Genomic DNA, 14,318 nt, shown 5'->3' with positions numbered 1-14,318 from the left:
GTGCCAAAGCCCTTAACATTCACCTCTAGGGCTCAAGGGGCAGTTCCTCCATTCCTCAGCAGTGGCGCCGGTGGAACTGTGTCCTGAGGCCAGGGGGTGGTCAGGCAGGGCCTGGAGTGGCTCCAGCCCCAGAGCCAGCTCCACAGTCCCCACAGCCACCCATGAGGAGCCAGTGCCAAGGAGGCTGTGATGGGCCGGCTCAGGCCAGGCCCCCACCCTTCCCCTACTGGGCTCCTCCCTGGCCCTTCAGAGGCAGAGAGCCCCGCGGTCCTGTGTCATCTGTCAGGTGCTTTGGCCCAGGTCTCCAGCGCTGCCATTGCCCAGAGACGGCACAGGCCAAGCTGTCCAGTTCAGGGATGGGGAACGGCACCTGGCAGGGCTGTCCCCAAACTGCCTGCCCCACAAGCCAGCTTGTCTTCTCCAGGGAGGGGCCTGTGTTCTCGGCACCACGTGCCTTAAGGCCACCTCCTCAGTCTTGGCCTTGCTGCCCCCTTGCCAGCCCCGTACCCACCTCAGCTGAGTGCTGTCCTCAGATACCAAGGCTGTGGGGCTGGGGGAGGTCCCTGTGCAGGTGCCTGGGCTGCCCGCCTCCCCCACCCCCAGGCCCAAGGGAGCAACAAGGCTGAGGGGCAGAAGCTCTCCAATTGCAACCACTGCCCTTTGGTGGGCACGGGGAGGCCCCTGGCAGGCCCCAGCTTCTGGCTCCAGGCGTTGGTTTCCCTGCCCAGCCCCAGGCAGGCTTTGAAAAGGCTGTGGGCGCCCACCCTTCCTTCCATCCAGGCTCCAGATCCTCAGGCCCGGCGGCGGCGGGGCCAGCTGGGCCTCCCCAGCTCCAGGATTCCGGCCCTTTGTTCCTGCCCAGGATGCACCTGGTGGCCTCTGGCCCTCATTGTTTGCTCTGAGGCCAGCTGAGCTGCATCAGGAGCAAGACATGCCAGGCCCAGGACAAGCAGCCAGTGAGCAGGGGAAGGGTCCCTGGAAACCAACTGGGTCACCCTGGGTGCTCCCCAACTTCTCCAATGGGGCAGGGACCTCACAAGGCTCCAGTTTATCCTAACAGAGGTCCTGCAAAGGCAGAAGAAACATACGGAGGAAGTGATCTCCGAGTCACTGGTCATCATCCTCCAACTCACCCCACCCCACTCAAGATGTTCACCCCATATCTGCTTCTGGGTGTCAGGACAAACAGCAACCCGCTAGCAACCCGGCCTTGGGGATGATCGGCGTAGATGTGAAAGCAGGCCCTGAGGGGAGTGGAGCCCTGGCTCCAGCGTGGGCAGTGACAGTCCTCTGCAGCCCTCATGCCGGGGCTTGCCACTCATCACCCCGATGGCTCTAAGCCACCTGCCCGCTCTCCCTGTGGCCCCAGCCCCATGACCTGCCAGGACTGTACCCCATGTCAGAGTGCCTGATATGAGGGCCCAGAAGGGGGCCCTGCTTTGCAGAGGTGGAAACAAGCCCAGCACATCCCAAGTGTCGGTGGCTGACCTGGGGAGGACCTGTGTGTCCCGACTCCTCAGTGCTCTTCCTGGCAGAAGTCTTGGGTGCAACCCAGCCCTGCGATGGCCTGTCCTTCCCCTCAGGGCACACCTGCTTCCTGCCTGGTGGGTGCCTGCCTTGGCCCTTCTTTTCTGCTTGGCCCTTAAGACTGCAGACCCCCTGCCACCCCTTCCTCACAAACACGGGAGGGTGCAGACAAAAGACCAGACCTTTCAGCACCTGCTCTGGGCCTGGTGCAGTCAACTGGCAAGCTGTGCCCGGTCTCTCCGCACCCCTCCCCCTGCCTCACAGCAGGCTCCCCGAGGCACTCCCAGCCTGAGAGGGCTGGTCAGGTGGAGTCCTCTCCTGTCAGGCAGGAGAGATGGAGTCCTCTCTTGTGCCCGGCCCAGCTCCTGTAGATGCCCAGTAAGGTCCAGACCTGTTGGGGTCAAAGCTCCTGCCAGAATCCAGATCCCCGAATCTCAGCAACCCAGGAGTCTGTCCTCACTCACCTGATGTACGGGGAAGTGGCTGCGAGCATGTTGAGACTGGTTCTGTCTGCCCCGGTCCCTCACCTAAGGGACAACCTAAAATAGAACCCAGGCTACCCCGAGGTTGCACGAAGTGCCGGCCCCGTGGGGCTGGGGCCATAGAGCTGGCCAGGCAGGGCTGCTGGGGCAGGGCGTGGCGTCTGGGCACAGGACCGCAGGCCCTTGAGGGTGCTGGAGGGGTGTAAGGGATCCTTCTGGAATCTCTCCACTCTCCCTGGAATCTCTCCACTCTCCCTGGAATCTCACAGCTTCCCCCTTCCACCTATTAAGCTGTCCCTGAGATCCTGGAACTTTGAGTCAAGGTATAAACGATGCCCTCCCCATAGGTGCTGCCCTGGGAAGCAGCAGAGCCAGCTCCAAATTGAGGGGCACAGCACTGTGGACGGGCCCCGCAGGCCCGTAACTTGGGACAGAAGGATCCCCTCAGGGCCACCCTAATCAGCATCCAAGGCAGCTGCACTGCAGGCGGGACGGATGGAGGATCTGGGAGTGACCGCCCCACCTGGGAGTGGTGGCTAAGGGGTCTGTGCTGCCCAGGACAAGGCCCAGGTGCGCTGGCAGGGACGGCAGTCCCCTGCTGACGTGTGGAGGCCGCTGCACACAGGGCCCGCCCGGCAGGCTCCATGGATGCTTGCTGACCACTAGGGCAGAACCCCTTCCGCACAGCAGAGGACACAACGAAGGGGCTGCTGAGCAGGGAGGAGCTGAGTCCAAGCCCAGTCCTGCCCCAGTCCTTTCACGCCCAGCTCCCAGCTCTACAGCTGTTGCCCACTGCCCACCCCAGGGTACCTGCAGCTGTTGGCACCCAGGGGTGCAGCTCCCAAGCACTTGCAGGTCACAGTGCAACTCCTGGCTTACTCAGGGCCAAGGCAGTTGCTGGGCTCCCAACCCTGAGGAGTCTCCACCTGGGAAGGGCATTCACTACATGCCCTCGTGTGCAGGAAGCACCACCACCATGGGCCTTTTGCATGTGACGTGGACAAGGTGGTAAGTGTTCTCCAGGCCAGCTCAGTGCATTCACAATCACTGTAGTGACTCACACCTGTAATCCCAAGGCTCTGGGAGGCCAAGGCGAGAGGATTGCTTCAGCCCAGAAGTGCAAGACCAGCTTGGGCAACATGGCGAAAAGCCCATTTCTACCAAAAAAAAAAAAAGAAAAAATAAATAAACAAACTGCTGGAGATGGTGGCACACACCTGTGGTCCCAGCTACTCAGGAGGCTGAGGTGGGAGGATTGCTGGAGCCCTGGAGGTTAAGGCTGTGGTGAGCCGTGATCGACCCCGTCTCGAAAAAACCAACAAAAAACAATGCACAGGCAAAAAAGTTTATCTGGTTGCCTCTGGGTAGGATACCTTTTTTCTTTTTCTCTATTTTATACATCCTGACAATTATTTCCAAGATGATACATGCCTCAAAACAAACAAAACCCCTCGAGACACACTCCCCAGCCCCCAGGGAAGGCATGTGTCTGGGCTGTGTAGGGGCTTCCGCTCTCCTGGGGGTAGCTCTGCCACGGTCTCTGGGGTCTTGGCATCTGTCACAGAACCCTAGTGGTTACAGGGCTCACTGTCCCACAGCCCCAGGCCACACGGTGATGTGCTGTGGCCCAGGGGAGGCCACCCTGGACTCCTGGTCAGGATCTGCCCACATGAGGAAGTGCGCCTTGGGGTAGGGCCACAGGCTGGCTCAGAGGTGCCCTTCTCTCCACAGCCAGTCCCAGGAGGGAGCTGGGTTCTGGTTTATGCGACGTCAGAGGGACGGCAGGGAGTGGAGGGCAAGCTAGAAAAGCCCAAGCTTGTTGTTTCAGCCATTTTAATACATTCAAGAATATTTACTAGAACAACATTTAAACGTATCGTCGGTCCGCAGAAGCCTGGGATCGAGAGAAATAGAAACGCGACTGGCCCTTTTGCAGTAAAGCTTGTGCTTGAAGGGAGAAGAGGCAAAGTGGCTTCTTGGAGACTTCGTGCCAGATGCCACAGGACTGAGAGCATCTCCAAATGTCACTTTAAACACGTGTGAGCATCTATAGTCATTCCTAAAGCCCACAGTGTCCTAAGGATCCTATTAGACGAGGCAAAAGGCAATGCTTCTGGAACCCTCTCCCTTGCAGCTCTGCACGCAAACCTTCCCCAAGGAGGGGCCCGAGGCAAGCCTCTAGATAGGCGGGGCCAAGCCCTCCCCGTGCCCACCCTCTTTCCCTGTTGCTGACCTCAGGCCTGATGCTGGACCCATGAGACTCCCAGAGGGAAAACACAGATACAGCCCATCCATCCATGGCCACCTTCCTCCAGAAGATCCTGGGGACCCCTACCCCCCCATCCCATGAGGCACCAGGGCTGGGCTCGCATGGCCAGCAAGGGATAAAGTTGGGAACTGCAGACCAGGGGAAGCCCCCTCATTCTTAGGGCAAAACAGCCCCTGAAGGACAAAATAAATAAACCAAACCATGACCAGACAGCTGGATCCGGACAGGTGGAGTGGCCTCTGTGAAGGCAAATGAGAGCAAAAGTGGGAACTGAGGACACCTAAGTGGAGAGACACTTAAAAACAGTAATTCTCACATGAACATCAGTGGCTCATGCCAACAGCAGAGCTGGCCATCAACAGAGGAACAGCAACAAAAACACAACTCAGACAGGGGGCGGGACGGGGCCAGGAGTCTGCGGGGGTCTCTGATATGCTTTGTGGCATGACTTTGCTTGCCTGGCCTCTCCTTTCTTAGCTGAAAACAGGCATTTCACCAAAGGGCATCCAGCCAGCGGCAGCAGCCTGAGCTCCCAGGCTGACATCTGGGCAGGGCTGATGGGCAGCTTCTGGCCATCTGGTGACCAGGTGTGCCGCCAGCTGCACCCACATGCACAGCCCCTTTCCTAATAACCACATTCTAGGTTACGTAGACACGTTAAACTCCTATTCTAGAACATCGTGCTTGAATGCAGACCCCTCAGCCCACAATCGGGCTGGCTGGGCCTCCTGTGAGCCCCTCATTGCATCCAGTCTGTGGGGCAGTGACCCCGCTTCCACTGGTGGCTGGTCTTCCTCATGGTGCTATGCAGGTGCCAAACACAGTTATATTCTCAAAGGTACAGGTCTTGTCTGGACATTGTTCAAACCAATAGCTACTGCGTTAGGCACACGGGAGATCCCTATTCCCAAAAATAGCTGTTGAGTTCTGGCCTGAGAGCATCTCCAGTGACCACCTTTAAATAAGGCTTTGGTTCAAACAGCATGGACCCAGCACCTGGGGAGGGTGGGCACAGGGGGCATGGACCCAGTACCTGGGGAGGGCGGGCATGGTGGTAGGAGACAACTCAACCACTGAGTCTTGGAGGTCCTGCCTTGGCCACGGAGGGCAGTGGCTGCCCTCACAAGAAGAGTTAAGGCACTTTCTTTAACTCTGGCCTAGGAGAATTATGTCTTAGTGACTCAGTGAGTTTAAATGACACTGCCTGGGCTCCCTAAAGTTGTTTACTTTTCTCCTATTTCCTGCTTTATTCCTTGCTCTCACCATGCTAATGTACAGATGTTGTTTAGATTTCTATGCTTATTGAAACAATGTAACTTTGGTACTAACAGAACAGGAGCGACCTTTTCCAGCATTGCTCGTAACAAAACAAAAATGTTAACTAGAAAAACTCCTTATGATGAAGAAATCTAAAGCCAGAGCTGGGACTCCAAACCCCTTCCAGGCTGGAAGACAGGTCGCTGAGTCCAGGCAAGGGGCCCCCGTAACTGCTTCCCGCCAGAAAGCCCAGCCGCGTGAGTGCAGCAGCAGCACCCCAGCCCTGGCGTGCCCGCACCACGCCCTCTAGATACTCTCCTAGCTCAGGCTGAACACGCCTGGATTGTGTCGGCCGGGACAGCCCCGTCAGGTGTGGGGCAGCTGACCCACGTCTGTGGTGAACATGCTCCTCCAAACTAGGACGGTGAAGGGCCCAGGGCGCTGGGAACTGCCAGGCGCTGACTCTCCTTCTGGGTTCTCACCAGCACCGGAACCCACCCCAGCCAATAGTCAGGAAGTGCCGCGGCCGAGCCTTCATCAACCCTAGTGAGTTTCCCACAGAACTGAATCCCTTTTCCCAAATTCAGCTGTGCATGAGCCCTTTTTGTTTGGTGCCCTGGAGCACTAGTGTAGTTCAATATTCTCTTCAGAAGGAAAACTCCAGCAGCCACCGGCCTGCAGGATGTGTGCTGAGCCCACATGACCTGAATGGACGGGTCATGTGGGAGGGGCCCTGGTGGGAGCTGTGGGCCACACGGCTGAGTTCTTCCAATACGGAAGCCCCGAGCTGGAGGCTCACACGCTGTGGGGCAGCCCAGAGTTGCTGGAAGCTTTACAGGGGTGCGTAGCTAATGGCGTCGGTGTCGCTCGGTCGCTGTGGAGGGGTACCCCCGCTATTGGGGCGGCTCCTCCCGGCATGCTCAGGTCTCAAAGTACTTGTAGATCGCCGTCACATACAGCATCACGTTCTGCCAGTCGGGTCGTTCAGTCCGTACCATTTCATTAATGTCCTGACAGACAAGGAAGACGCTTGGTTAGAACTGCAGGTCACCTCCAGGCTGTGCCAATGGGCTCTGCCATAGCAACATGGGCTCTTGGAGTTGGATGGGGCCTTGAAATATTTTCTAGGCCTAATTACACATTTTTAAAGCCTGGCCAAGAATGCTTCCTCCCTGGGCATCAGCATCGTCCCCAGGCCATCCACCCCTGCCCCAGAGCCACAGGCAAGGTGCCTCCCTGCTCACGGCTCTGCAGGATGGGAAGGGTTTCATCCAGTCTGGGCGGAGGAACTTCCTCCCTCCTCCCCGCGCCTGCCTCTCTTCTTAAACCACTCCTTGGGGGACCCTTCTGAGAGCCCTTCTCAGCCCCAGGCACTGGCCTAGGAGAATTTCTCTCTGTCGGGGGCTCCCAGAACCAACACTCTGACGGCCTTCACCATGGGCAACAGTCTGAAATCATCCAAGACTCTGCTCTGTAACTGTGCTCTGCTGAACGCCAGTGACCTGTGACCGGTGAACTGATGTTCTAGGAAAATAAACTTGGGAAACCGTGGACCCACCCCCACCTCACTCCAGTGTCTCACAGCCTTTAACACGAGACAGAAGGCCTCAAAAAGTGACACACTGCTGCTGCTGAAGGCTCGGGGAGTGACCCAAGGGGCCGGCCTGAGAGATCCTTCCCTTCCCATGGGTGACGAGCACAGGACGTGTGGCTGAGCACGCAGGATCAGGAGGGCGCCCTTGGTGACTTGATGCAGAAAACGAAAACCTGCCTGTTCAATGCAAGAATCTTGACTATAGAAGCTTTTGAGGGTGGGAAAAAGGCCTGCTTTTTTTATATATTGGAACTTTACACGTGTTGTAAAATATCCAGGAATGGGGGAATATTTAACTTATTTTTCCCTGTACAGGTGAACAGAGGCCACCCTAAAAAATGCACATTTCTAGGGATTTAGATGCACCTGTGGCATGAAGACTCTAATGAGTGAACATGGGCGTAAACACTTCTTCACAGCACCTCCAGCTGCTACAAGTTAGGCTGGGGGCACGGGGATGGGGAGGTGACCCTGGAGGGCCCCAGATCTAGGACTGTTTGGGGCTTGGACTGGCCTGTGGGCTCTCCGCCCTTTCTGAAAATCCCGATGGTCTGTGTGTCCCATGTGAGGCTGCGGCACTCAGTTCACTTAATAAAAGCGTCTCTGGGTGTAGAAGTTTTGGCTTTGGATTTGGACGCTATGTTTTCTCCCGGAAAGTTGGGCTCGGCAAGGTAGAAGCGTGAGAGGCCTAAAGAACCTGAGAACACGCCGGGTTTCCACACTTCTGTCCTGTGAGTGGCGGCTACCCACACCATCACGAGGAAGTGCAGGAGCCTCCCCGGTCCAGCCTCTAAAGCCGCCTGCCTTGGCTGAGAGCTGCCTTGCCCTCTCGCTCTAGATGAACAAGGCAGATGGACCTGCTGGTGTGGTGTTTTTGACAGCGAGATTTATAAACATATGACATTTTTCTTTTAACCTGAGGGACTCCCTTATGGAAGAGATGACTGCAAAGAGCCGTCCCAGGGAAGGTTGGCTGGGCCCATGGTCTCAGGCCTCCCACCCTTTCAGGGGGCATCCTTAGGGTGTTTCACGTGAGATAAAAGTGCTGGGGGCCAGGACACAAGATCCCACATCTGCACCCACCCTTGACGGGACCCTCCCTTGGCCCCAGAGCACCCCATAGCTGCCTTTTACCAGGCAGCCACACTACCCCATGCCCACGAGGATTCAGCTTAAACAGGACTGAACTCTTCTTAACCAGAAGGAGGGCCCTGCCAGTGACTCAGGGGGACAAGGGCTCACCAGTGTGGATTTGATGCCGACACTTTCAGCTGCCTGGAAAGCCAGCATGAAGTTCCTTCTCTGTAAAAGAAACTGTGTCACTGCAGTGCATGAACAAGGCACAGAGAAAGTCACGTGGCCTCCACAACTGCCTGGGACAGATGCATCTGAAGGACGACACTCACCTCTACCTGGTGCCACAACAAACCTATGCTGGGAGCCTGAGCTTCTGCATCTGCACCAAGTACCCTGCACTAGGCCCGGCCACCCTCCCCTCCTGACCTGCTGCAGTGACCCACCAACACCCGTTCTTTCCTCACTCCTGAAGAATCCTACTTCTGCCGCACCAATGCTGTGGCACCTGAACACGCACCCCCAAAAGCTAGTTAGGAACACTCATCAAATGAGCTTCCCCCACAGGGATCTTCGAGGGTTGTCTGCAGGGCTGGGGGCTGACATGGGGGAAGCAGGGGACTGGGGTGGGGGCTGCGGGCCTGGATCCTCTCCAGTGGCCCTCTGGGTAGGGCTTCTTCCCTGACCCTGTCCCCAAGGAACTATCTGGATGAAACATTAAACCATGCCCTGGAGTGCACAGGGTTGGTGTTTCTTGCCAGTTCTAAGGCCCACAGTGCAGAATGGGCTATGGAGTGACAGCCCTCCTCAAGGTGGCAGGAGGCTGGCCTGGCCTGGTCAGCACTGCCTGACTACTCCTGCCTTCACGGAGCTTCTTGGGCCCCTCCTGGTGAAGCTCTTCATCCTAAATGTAGTCACTCAGGAAGGACTGGCTGCTCCCACTAGGAATGATATCACTTGGGGAATTCTGAACCAACCAAATACTCCACACAAGGTGGGACAGGGACTGGTGGGCTCAGCATGAATGACCTGATCCCAGAAGACCCAGATGGCACGAGGCAATCGCAAGCCAGCGCTGTGGCATGTGACCTGCTGAGGCAGGTGCTGCCCTTGGTTCTCAGCCCTCCAACCCTGTGAGGTGGGTGCCAGGAGCTGGCCCTCCATGGCCTACCTTATCCTGGCTGTTCAGTTCTTGATATGGAATGTGGGCAGGGAGATATGTATGCAGGAGGGCACAGAAGGCCAGCCCATCATTCCAGCTGCTGCTGAAGTTTGTAATGTCAATATTCTGAAGGAAAGGAAGAAAAACATGTAACCAACACATGCTGGGACCCTCTTAGGAGATGCCAAGGAGGACGCAGGAGGCCTCAGATGCTGCATGGCCTCCAAAACACAAAACCAAAACCAGGGCAGGGCGGCTGTGTCCAAGGGCTACCTGGTATCTATGACTCCCCAACCCGTCCCACCCACCAGCTGTAGATGGCTGCCCCTACGTGGTCACGCCTGGGCCTGGTATAACACGTGGCGTCTTGCTGACTTACTAGCTGTTGCATACAAAGAGAGGACCCTAGGCTGCTGAAGCTGGCCTCTACCATGACCTGTTGGGGTGACAGTACAGACCAGAGGATGTGGGTGGTAATCAATGACCCCCCCTTTTTTGTTTTTTGTTTTTTTTGGTTTGTTTGTTTGAGATGGAGTCTCACTCTGTCACCAGGTTGGAGTGCAGTGGCATGATCTCGGCTCACTACAACCTCTACCTCCCGGGTTCAAGTGATTTCTCCTGCTTCAGCCTCCCGAGTAGCTGGGACTACAGGCATGTGCCACCACACCCGGCTATTTTTTTTTGTATTTTCAGTAGAGACAGGGTTTCACTGTAAGCTAGGATGGTCTCAATCTCTTGACCTTGTGATCCACCCGCCTTGGCCTCCCGAAGTGCTGGGATTATAGGTGTGAGCCACCGCACCTGGCCGGTAATCAATGACCTTTAAAGCACCATGTATTAAAATGCAACTCATTCTCCATTGGTTGTTGAAGCATGTCAAAGATCCTCCAAGTCAGGGTGTATCTCAAAGTGCGCCCACACATGAAGATACCTTCTGCCCTTTTCACTGTAATGACACCTGCTCTGATGGATGGTGAGAAGCCAAGGAGAGCAACAACGTGGCCCCCTGAGCATTGGTCCAGGCCACGCACCACATGTACTGGAGATTGCTATAGTGTACCCCACCACAAACTTGTGGTTAAAAAAAAGTAATCTGAAAATACAGGTTTCGCTTAAAGATGTCTTTGATGAGGCAATTTAGTGGTCTGATTAAATGCCTCGATCCTCTGTGCATTGGTCTTTTTAGTGTCTGGTGTGGGGAGGTGGGATGAGTACAGGGCTCCTCAGCCCTGCAGGCTGTAGCCTCAACTCTGCCAGGGAGAAAGAAGCATGGGGCACAGGAGTGGGGCAGGGCTGTTCTGTTAAGAAAAGTTATGACTCAGCCTGACCTCCCAGATCAGGGACTCTAAGCTAAGACTTGCAGTCCATCAAAAACCTCTGCAATTTGCTGCCAGGCATGCGCCTGTGGTCCCAGCTACTCAGGAGGCTGAGGCGGGAGGATCCCTTGAGCCCAGGAGTTCAGGGCTGCAGCATGGTATGACTGTGCCTGTGAACAGCCATTACACCCCAGCCTGCCAACACAGTGAGATCCCCCCCATCTCCGAAAAAACACACAAACCACAAACCAAAACACCTCTGTAACTTGAAGGTGTCATCATCTGACAGCCCCCATCTTGCATTAGGAGCCGATTAAGGCCGGCTATGTGCTCTCCATGCCACCTCTTGGTGAACCACCTCAACTTTTTAAAATTTTTTGAGACAGGGTCTCTCTGTCACCCAAGCTGGAGTGGAGTTGACTCACTGCGGCCTTGACGGCCTCCTGGGGTTAAGCAATCCTACCTCAGCCTCCTGAGTAGCTGGGACTACAGGCTGGTACGTGCTACCACGTCCAGCTAATTTTGTTTGTTTTTTTGTAGAGATGAGGTTTCGCTATGTCGCCCAGGCTGGTCTGAAACTCCTGAGCTCAAGCGATGTCACCTCAGCCTCCAAAGCAGTGAAATTACATGCAAGAGCCACTGTACCCAGCCTTGACTTTCTTTTAAGGGGCACCTTATTCCATATTTTAAAGTATTTGTAACTATAAAAGGAATATATAATTCATTTTTTATTATTACTTTTTAAAGAGACAGGATCTCACTTTGTCTCCAGGCTGGAGTGCAGTGGCACAATCATAGCTCACTGCAGCCTTGAACTCCTGGGCTGAAGCAATCCTCCCACCTCAGCCTCCCAAAGTGCTGGGATTACAGGTGTGATCCACCTTACCTGGCCCAGAGTATTTTATCATATAAAATATTCTGCAATTCAGCTGGTATGTAGCCGTTACCCTTATTTGCAACAGTCCTTATGAAGATGAATCTACACATTTCAATTTTCCTAATTCACACTTTATGCAGACACCACAAGCTGAACAAGAACACCTCCCCACCACCATGTCCCACTTTCATTATTTCACGCCACCTTCAACTGCACCAAGAGCCAGCTTCCTAAAATTTTATTATTTTAGGACTGAGAAAGCCCAAATTTTATTATTCAATGCAAACCGTCCAGCTCCTGGGGAGCACTTTATACTCCTCCCAGGAATGAGTGATTCACAGAATGATGTTAACACTATTATTATCATTATATTATTAACTATATCTGTACAGAATCTTACAAAGTTTACAAAGCACTTTACGAATCCTGACCCCTCTTTATATACTGTTAGGACCTAACACCAAGTCAGGGACCTGGCTCAGAGACAAGGGCAGGTGGGGGCCATGGGAACCCAGGCTCAGAGCTGCAAGGATGTGTCCAACCAGCAAGGACCCAAGTAAAGCAGGCTGGGCAGGCCGCCCCTGCGAGGGAGACCGTCAGTCCAGCCTCACAGCTCTAGGCAGGTGTCCTTACACAGCAGCAGACCACGTGGAGGATCACGAGGCTGACTTCTCATCACCTGCATCATCAGAATGTATTGTCTGGCTTCTGACTGCACGTGCCCAGAACGTTCCAGTGTCTGTGCAAAGCATGAGCCTTCCAAAGGACAGCAGACCCAAGAGTTACTTTCACAGGCCATTTCCTCTCATTAACCTGAACATCTGCTGCTTCCAGCTTCTCTGATATGACCCAGAGATATTGTTATAAACTGCTGTGAGGAAAGTGACCAGATTAAGGAACGAGGAAACGCAAACCTGCCAAGAGTCGCAGGGGAAGGTGGCAGCAAGCCTCTGGTGGCTGGTGTGCCGACAGTCTGACCTGGCTACCTAAATGTGTGCCACCAGGCATCCACTGATGTCAGTCCTCCCCAAATACCTAGGCCAGGTGAGAATCCTCTCTGCCTCAGTCTGTAGTCCTCACACTTTCTGGCCACGAAGATGCAGTCCTGAGGGTAAGACCTGCTACATTCCCAAGAGGCCTGGCCCGCCCTCCATGCGGCTCTCTGCTCTGGCCATGATTTAACAGTTACCACTCCATAAAGGGTTCTGATGACCTAATGAAGAAGGTGCCTTGTGGCAAACAGGGCTTGACAGTTACTGCTGACTGAAGACCCCTGAACACACGCACACGCATGCAATCTCATCTCTTTGATCTCATTGGAATCTCAGAAAGCAGCTCTTTAGGGAGGAAACTAGGACCAGGGAGGAGTGCTAGGCAGGTGGCAGAGAAGACAGGACAGGACAGGAACCCTTGCCCTAGGCATCCTGTGAGCAGTACTCACTTTCACTCTCACAGCCACCCGCAGCAGTCTGGAAGGAGGGTGAGGCTCCGAGAGGCCAAGACACTCACCCAGGCCACACAGCTGGTCTCTGGGATCATTCAAAGTGAGGTGTATCATAGGAGGATGGGCCTGCTTTCCTTTAGTTGTCTAGGTAAGATTTCCTAATGCCCTGTGCACCTTTCCACAGTGAAGTAAGTCTAGGATTAGGGTACAGAGAAGAGGCAGGAATGAAGTATGCAAGACAAATGAAGAATGGGCCAGGACTCACTTGCTCCGTAATTTGCAGGGCCCACTACAAAATGAAAATGCAAGGTCCCCTTGTCCAAAATGCAGAGGAAAAAGTCTATTAAAGGTACTAAAAAAAAGAGCCAGGTCTAAGGGACTAAGTGCTTGATGAAAGAGGCATCCTTGCAGGGAGAGGGGGCCAGGAAGCTTCTTAATAACGTGTGGAGCTCTGTGTGAGGCCAATGGCAACGCCTGGCCCTCAGAGGTCACATTCACTTCTGGAGGAAAACAAACCTTCACTTCCTGCCGCAGCCGCCCCTTCTGCTCCCTGAAACGCAGGCAGCTCTGGCAGGGTCGTGGACGTGCCTGGCCTCACCACTGCACAGCGCCTCGAGGCAGAGGCTCCTGTGTCCCATCCGCCTGGCTGTGGGAACCCCAGCCTTCCCCCTCCGCTTCCTCAAGATAAACCCAACACCCCGCCAGGGAAGAAGCTGCTGCTCCAGCACCCCCGCCCCACCTGGAACCTCCGGGAAGAGAGACTTCTTTTACAAAGCATGCCACAGTGACCTGAACCGGGAAGAAAACAATGGCTTCTTCAGTTCCAGGCTGAGGAAGTTCACATTTGAGTACCTGACAACGAAATTTCCTATCAATACAAGTAAAGCCCAAAAGAAGGCTAGCTGGGGGCCCTACCTCCCTTAACCCTTGGAGGTTTGGAGAGCAGCCAGGCCAGACTGCTGCACGTGGCTCCAAGGCACCCTATGTGATAAGCTGGAGGCAGAAAGTAGGGAGCCCAAGTGAAGCTTGAGCGCCCACTGGCTGCTCTGCTTCCTCCCCCATCCACAGAGATCATGTTGGGAGAATGAGCCGGGCTCTGAAAAAGGGGTTCCTCCAGGGAAGTGAGGAAGAAGCCCGCAGCCCTCTGCTCCCAACGTCACTGGCTGTTGCATGGTTTGAAATGTTCCAGGCTGAAAACTCTAACTGCTAATGAAGTCATATTGACTAAATTATAAGAACAACGAAGCTGGGTTCTCGGAAGGCACGGTGCAAGAACACCAGGCAGGAAGGCGGGGAGCTCCCCTCCACACGGCCAC

General features: G+C 54.9%; 1 protein-coding gene and 1 long non-coding RNA gene across 5 annotated transcripts in view, besides 5 other annotated features; both read right to left on the bottom strand.

The window, feature by feature from the left end:
• The window catches only part of SPECC1L-ADORA2A (SPECC1L-ADORA2A readthrough (NMD candidate)), a 171,544-nt gene that overhangs the window by 21,282 nt on the left and 135,944 nt on the right, over positions 1-14,318 (bottom strand). Inside the window, 3 exon segments of the long non-coding RNA NR_103546.1 lie at positions 6,335-6,545; positions 8,372-8,431; positions 9,375-9,491. This is a non-coding gene — a long non-coding RNA (SPECC1L-ADORA2A readthrough (NMD candidate)).
• Positions 287-896: an enhancer, noted in NCBI's record as "H3K27ac-H3K4me1 hESC enhancer chr22:24816151-24816760 (GRCh37/hg19 assembly coordinates)". NCBI's record gives its function as "activates a minimal SCP1, AML or CMV promoter by ChIP-STARR-seq in naive H9 embryonic stem cells {active_cell/tissue: H9 hESC(naive)}" and the evidence as "EXISTENCE:reporter gene assay evidence [ECO:0000049][PMID:30033119]".
• Positions 2,115-2,724: an enhancer, noted in NCBI's record as "H3K27ac-H3K4me1 hESC enhancer chr22:24814323-24814932 (GRCh37/hg19 assembly coordinates)". NCBI's record gives its function as "activates a minimal SCP1, AML or CMV promoter by ChIP-STARR-seq in naive H9 embryonic stem cells {active_cell/tissue: H9 hESC(naive)}" and the evidence as "EXISTENCE:reporter gene assay evidence [ECO:0000049][PMID:30033119]".
• Positions 3,235-3,411: a silencer, noted in NCBI's record as "fragment chr22:24813636-24813812 (GRCh37/hg19 assembly coordinates)". NCBI's record gives its function as "represses an EF-1alpha promoter that drives an FKBP-Casp9 reporter gene in an ReSE screen in phorbol 12-myristate 13-acetate-treated (for megakaryocytic differentiation) K562 erythroleukemia cells {active_cell/tissue: K562(+PMA)}" and the evidence as "EXISTENCE:reporter gene assay evidence [ECO:0000049][PMID:32094911]".
• The window catches only part of SPECC1L (sperm antigen with calponin homology and coiled-coil domains 1 like), a 146,908-nt gene continuing 135,930 nt past the window's right edge, over positions 3,341-14,318 (bottom strand). For 3 of the 4 annotated variants that reach the window (NM_015330.6, NM_001145468.4, NM_001254733.2), the window contains 3 exons: positions 9,375-9,491; positions 8,372-8,431; positions 3,341-6,545 (listed from right to left, as the gene is read on the bottom strand). In NM_015330.6, the coding sequence (NP_056145.5) occupies positions 6,456-6,545; positions 8,372-8,431; positions 9,375-9,491 (267 nt within the window). In that variant the 3' untranslated portion in view covers positions 3,341-6,455. The remainder of the gene's footprint in view (positions 6,546-8,371; positions 8,432-9,374; positions 9,492-14,318) is intronic. The other variant, NM_001254732.3, reaches the window with a different exon arrangement.
• Positions 11,689-12,188: an enhancer, noted in NCBI's record as "H3K4me1 hESC enhancer chr22:24804859-24805358 (GRCh37/hg19 assembly coordinates)". NCBI's record gives its function as "activates a minimal SCP1, AML or CMV promoter by ChIP-STARR-seq in naive H9 embryonic stem cells {active_cell/tissue: H9 hESC(naive)}" and the evidence as "EXISTENCE:reporter gene assay evidence [ECO:0000049][PMID:30033119]".
• Positions 12,189-12,690: an enhancer, noted in NCBI's record as "H3K4me1 hESC enhancer chr22:24804357-24804858 (GRCh37/hg19 assembly coordinates)". NCBI's record gives its function as "activates a minimal SCP1, AML or CMV promoter by ChIP-STARR-seq in naive H9 embryonic stem cells {active_cell/tissue: H9 hESC(naive)}" and the evidence as "EXISTENCE:reporter gene assay evidence [ECO:0000049][PMID:30033119]".

This window comes from Homo sapiens, chromosome 22, assembly GCF_000001405.40.
Source record: "Homo sapiens chromosome 22, GRCh38.p14 Primary Assembly".
In the NCBI taxonomy this organism is placed as follows: Eukaryota; Metazoa; Chordata; class Mammalia; order Primates; family Hominidae; genus Homo; species Homo sapiens.
The sequence above is the reverse complement of the archived record's forward strand: the minus strand, read 5'-3'. Positions and strand labels throughout refer to the sequence as shown.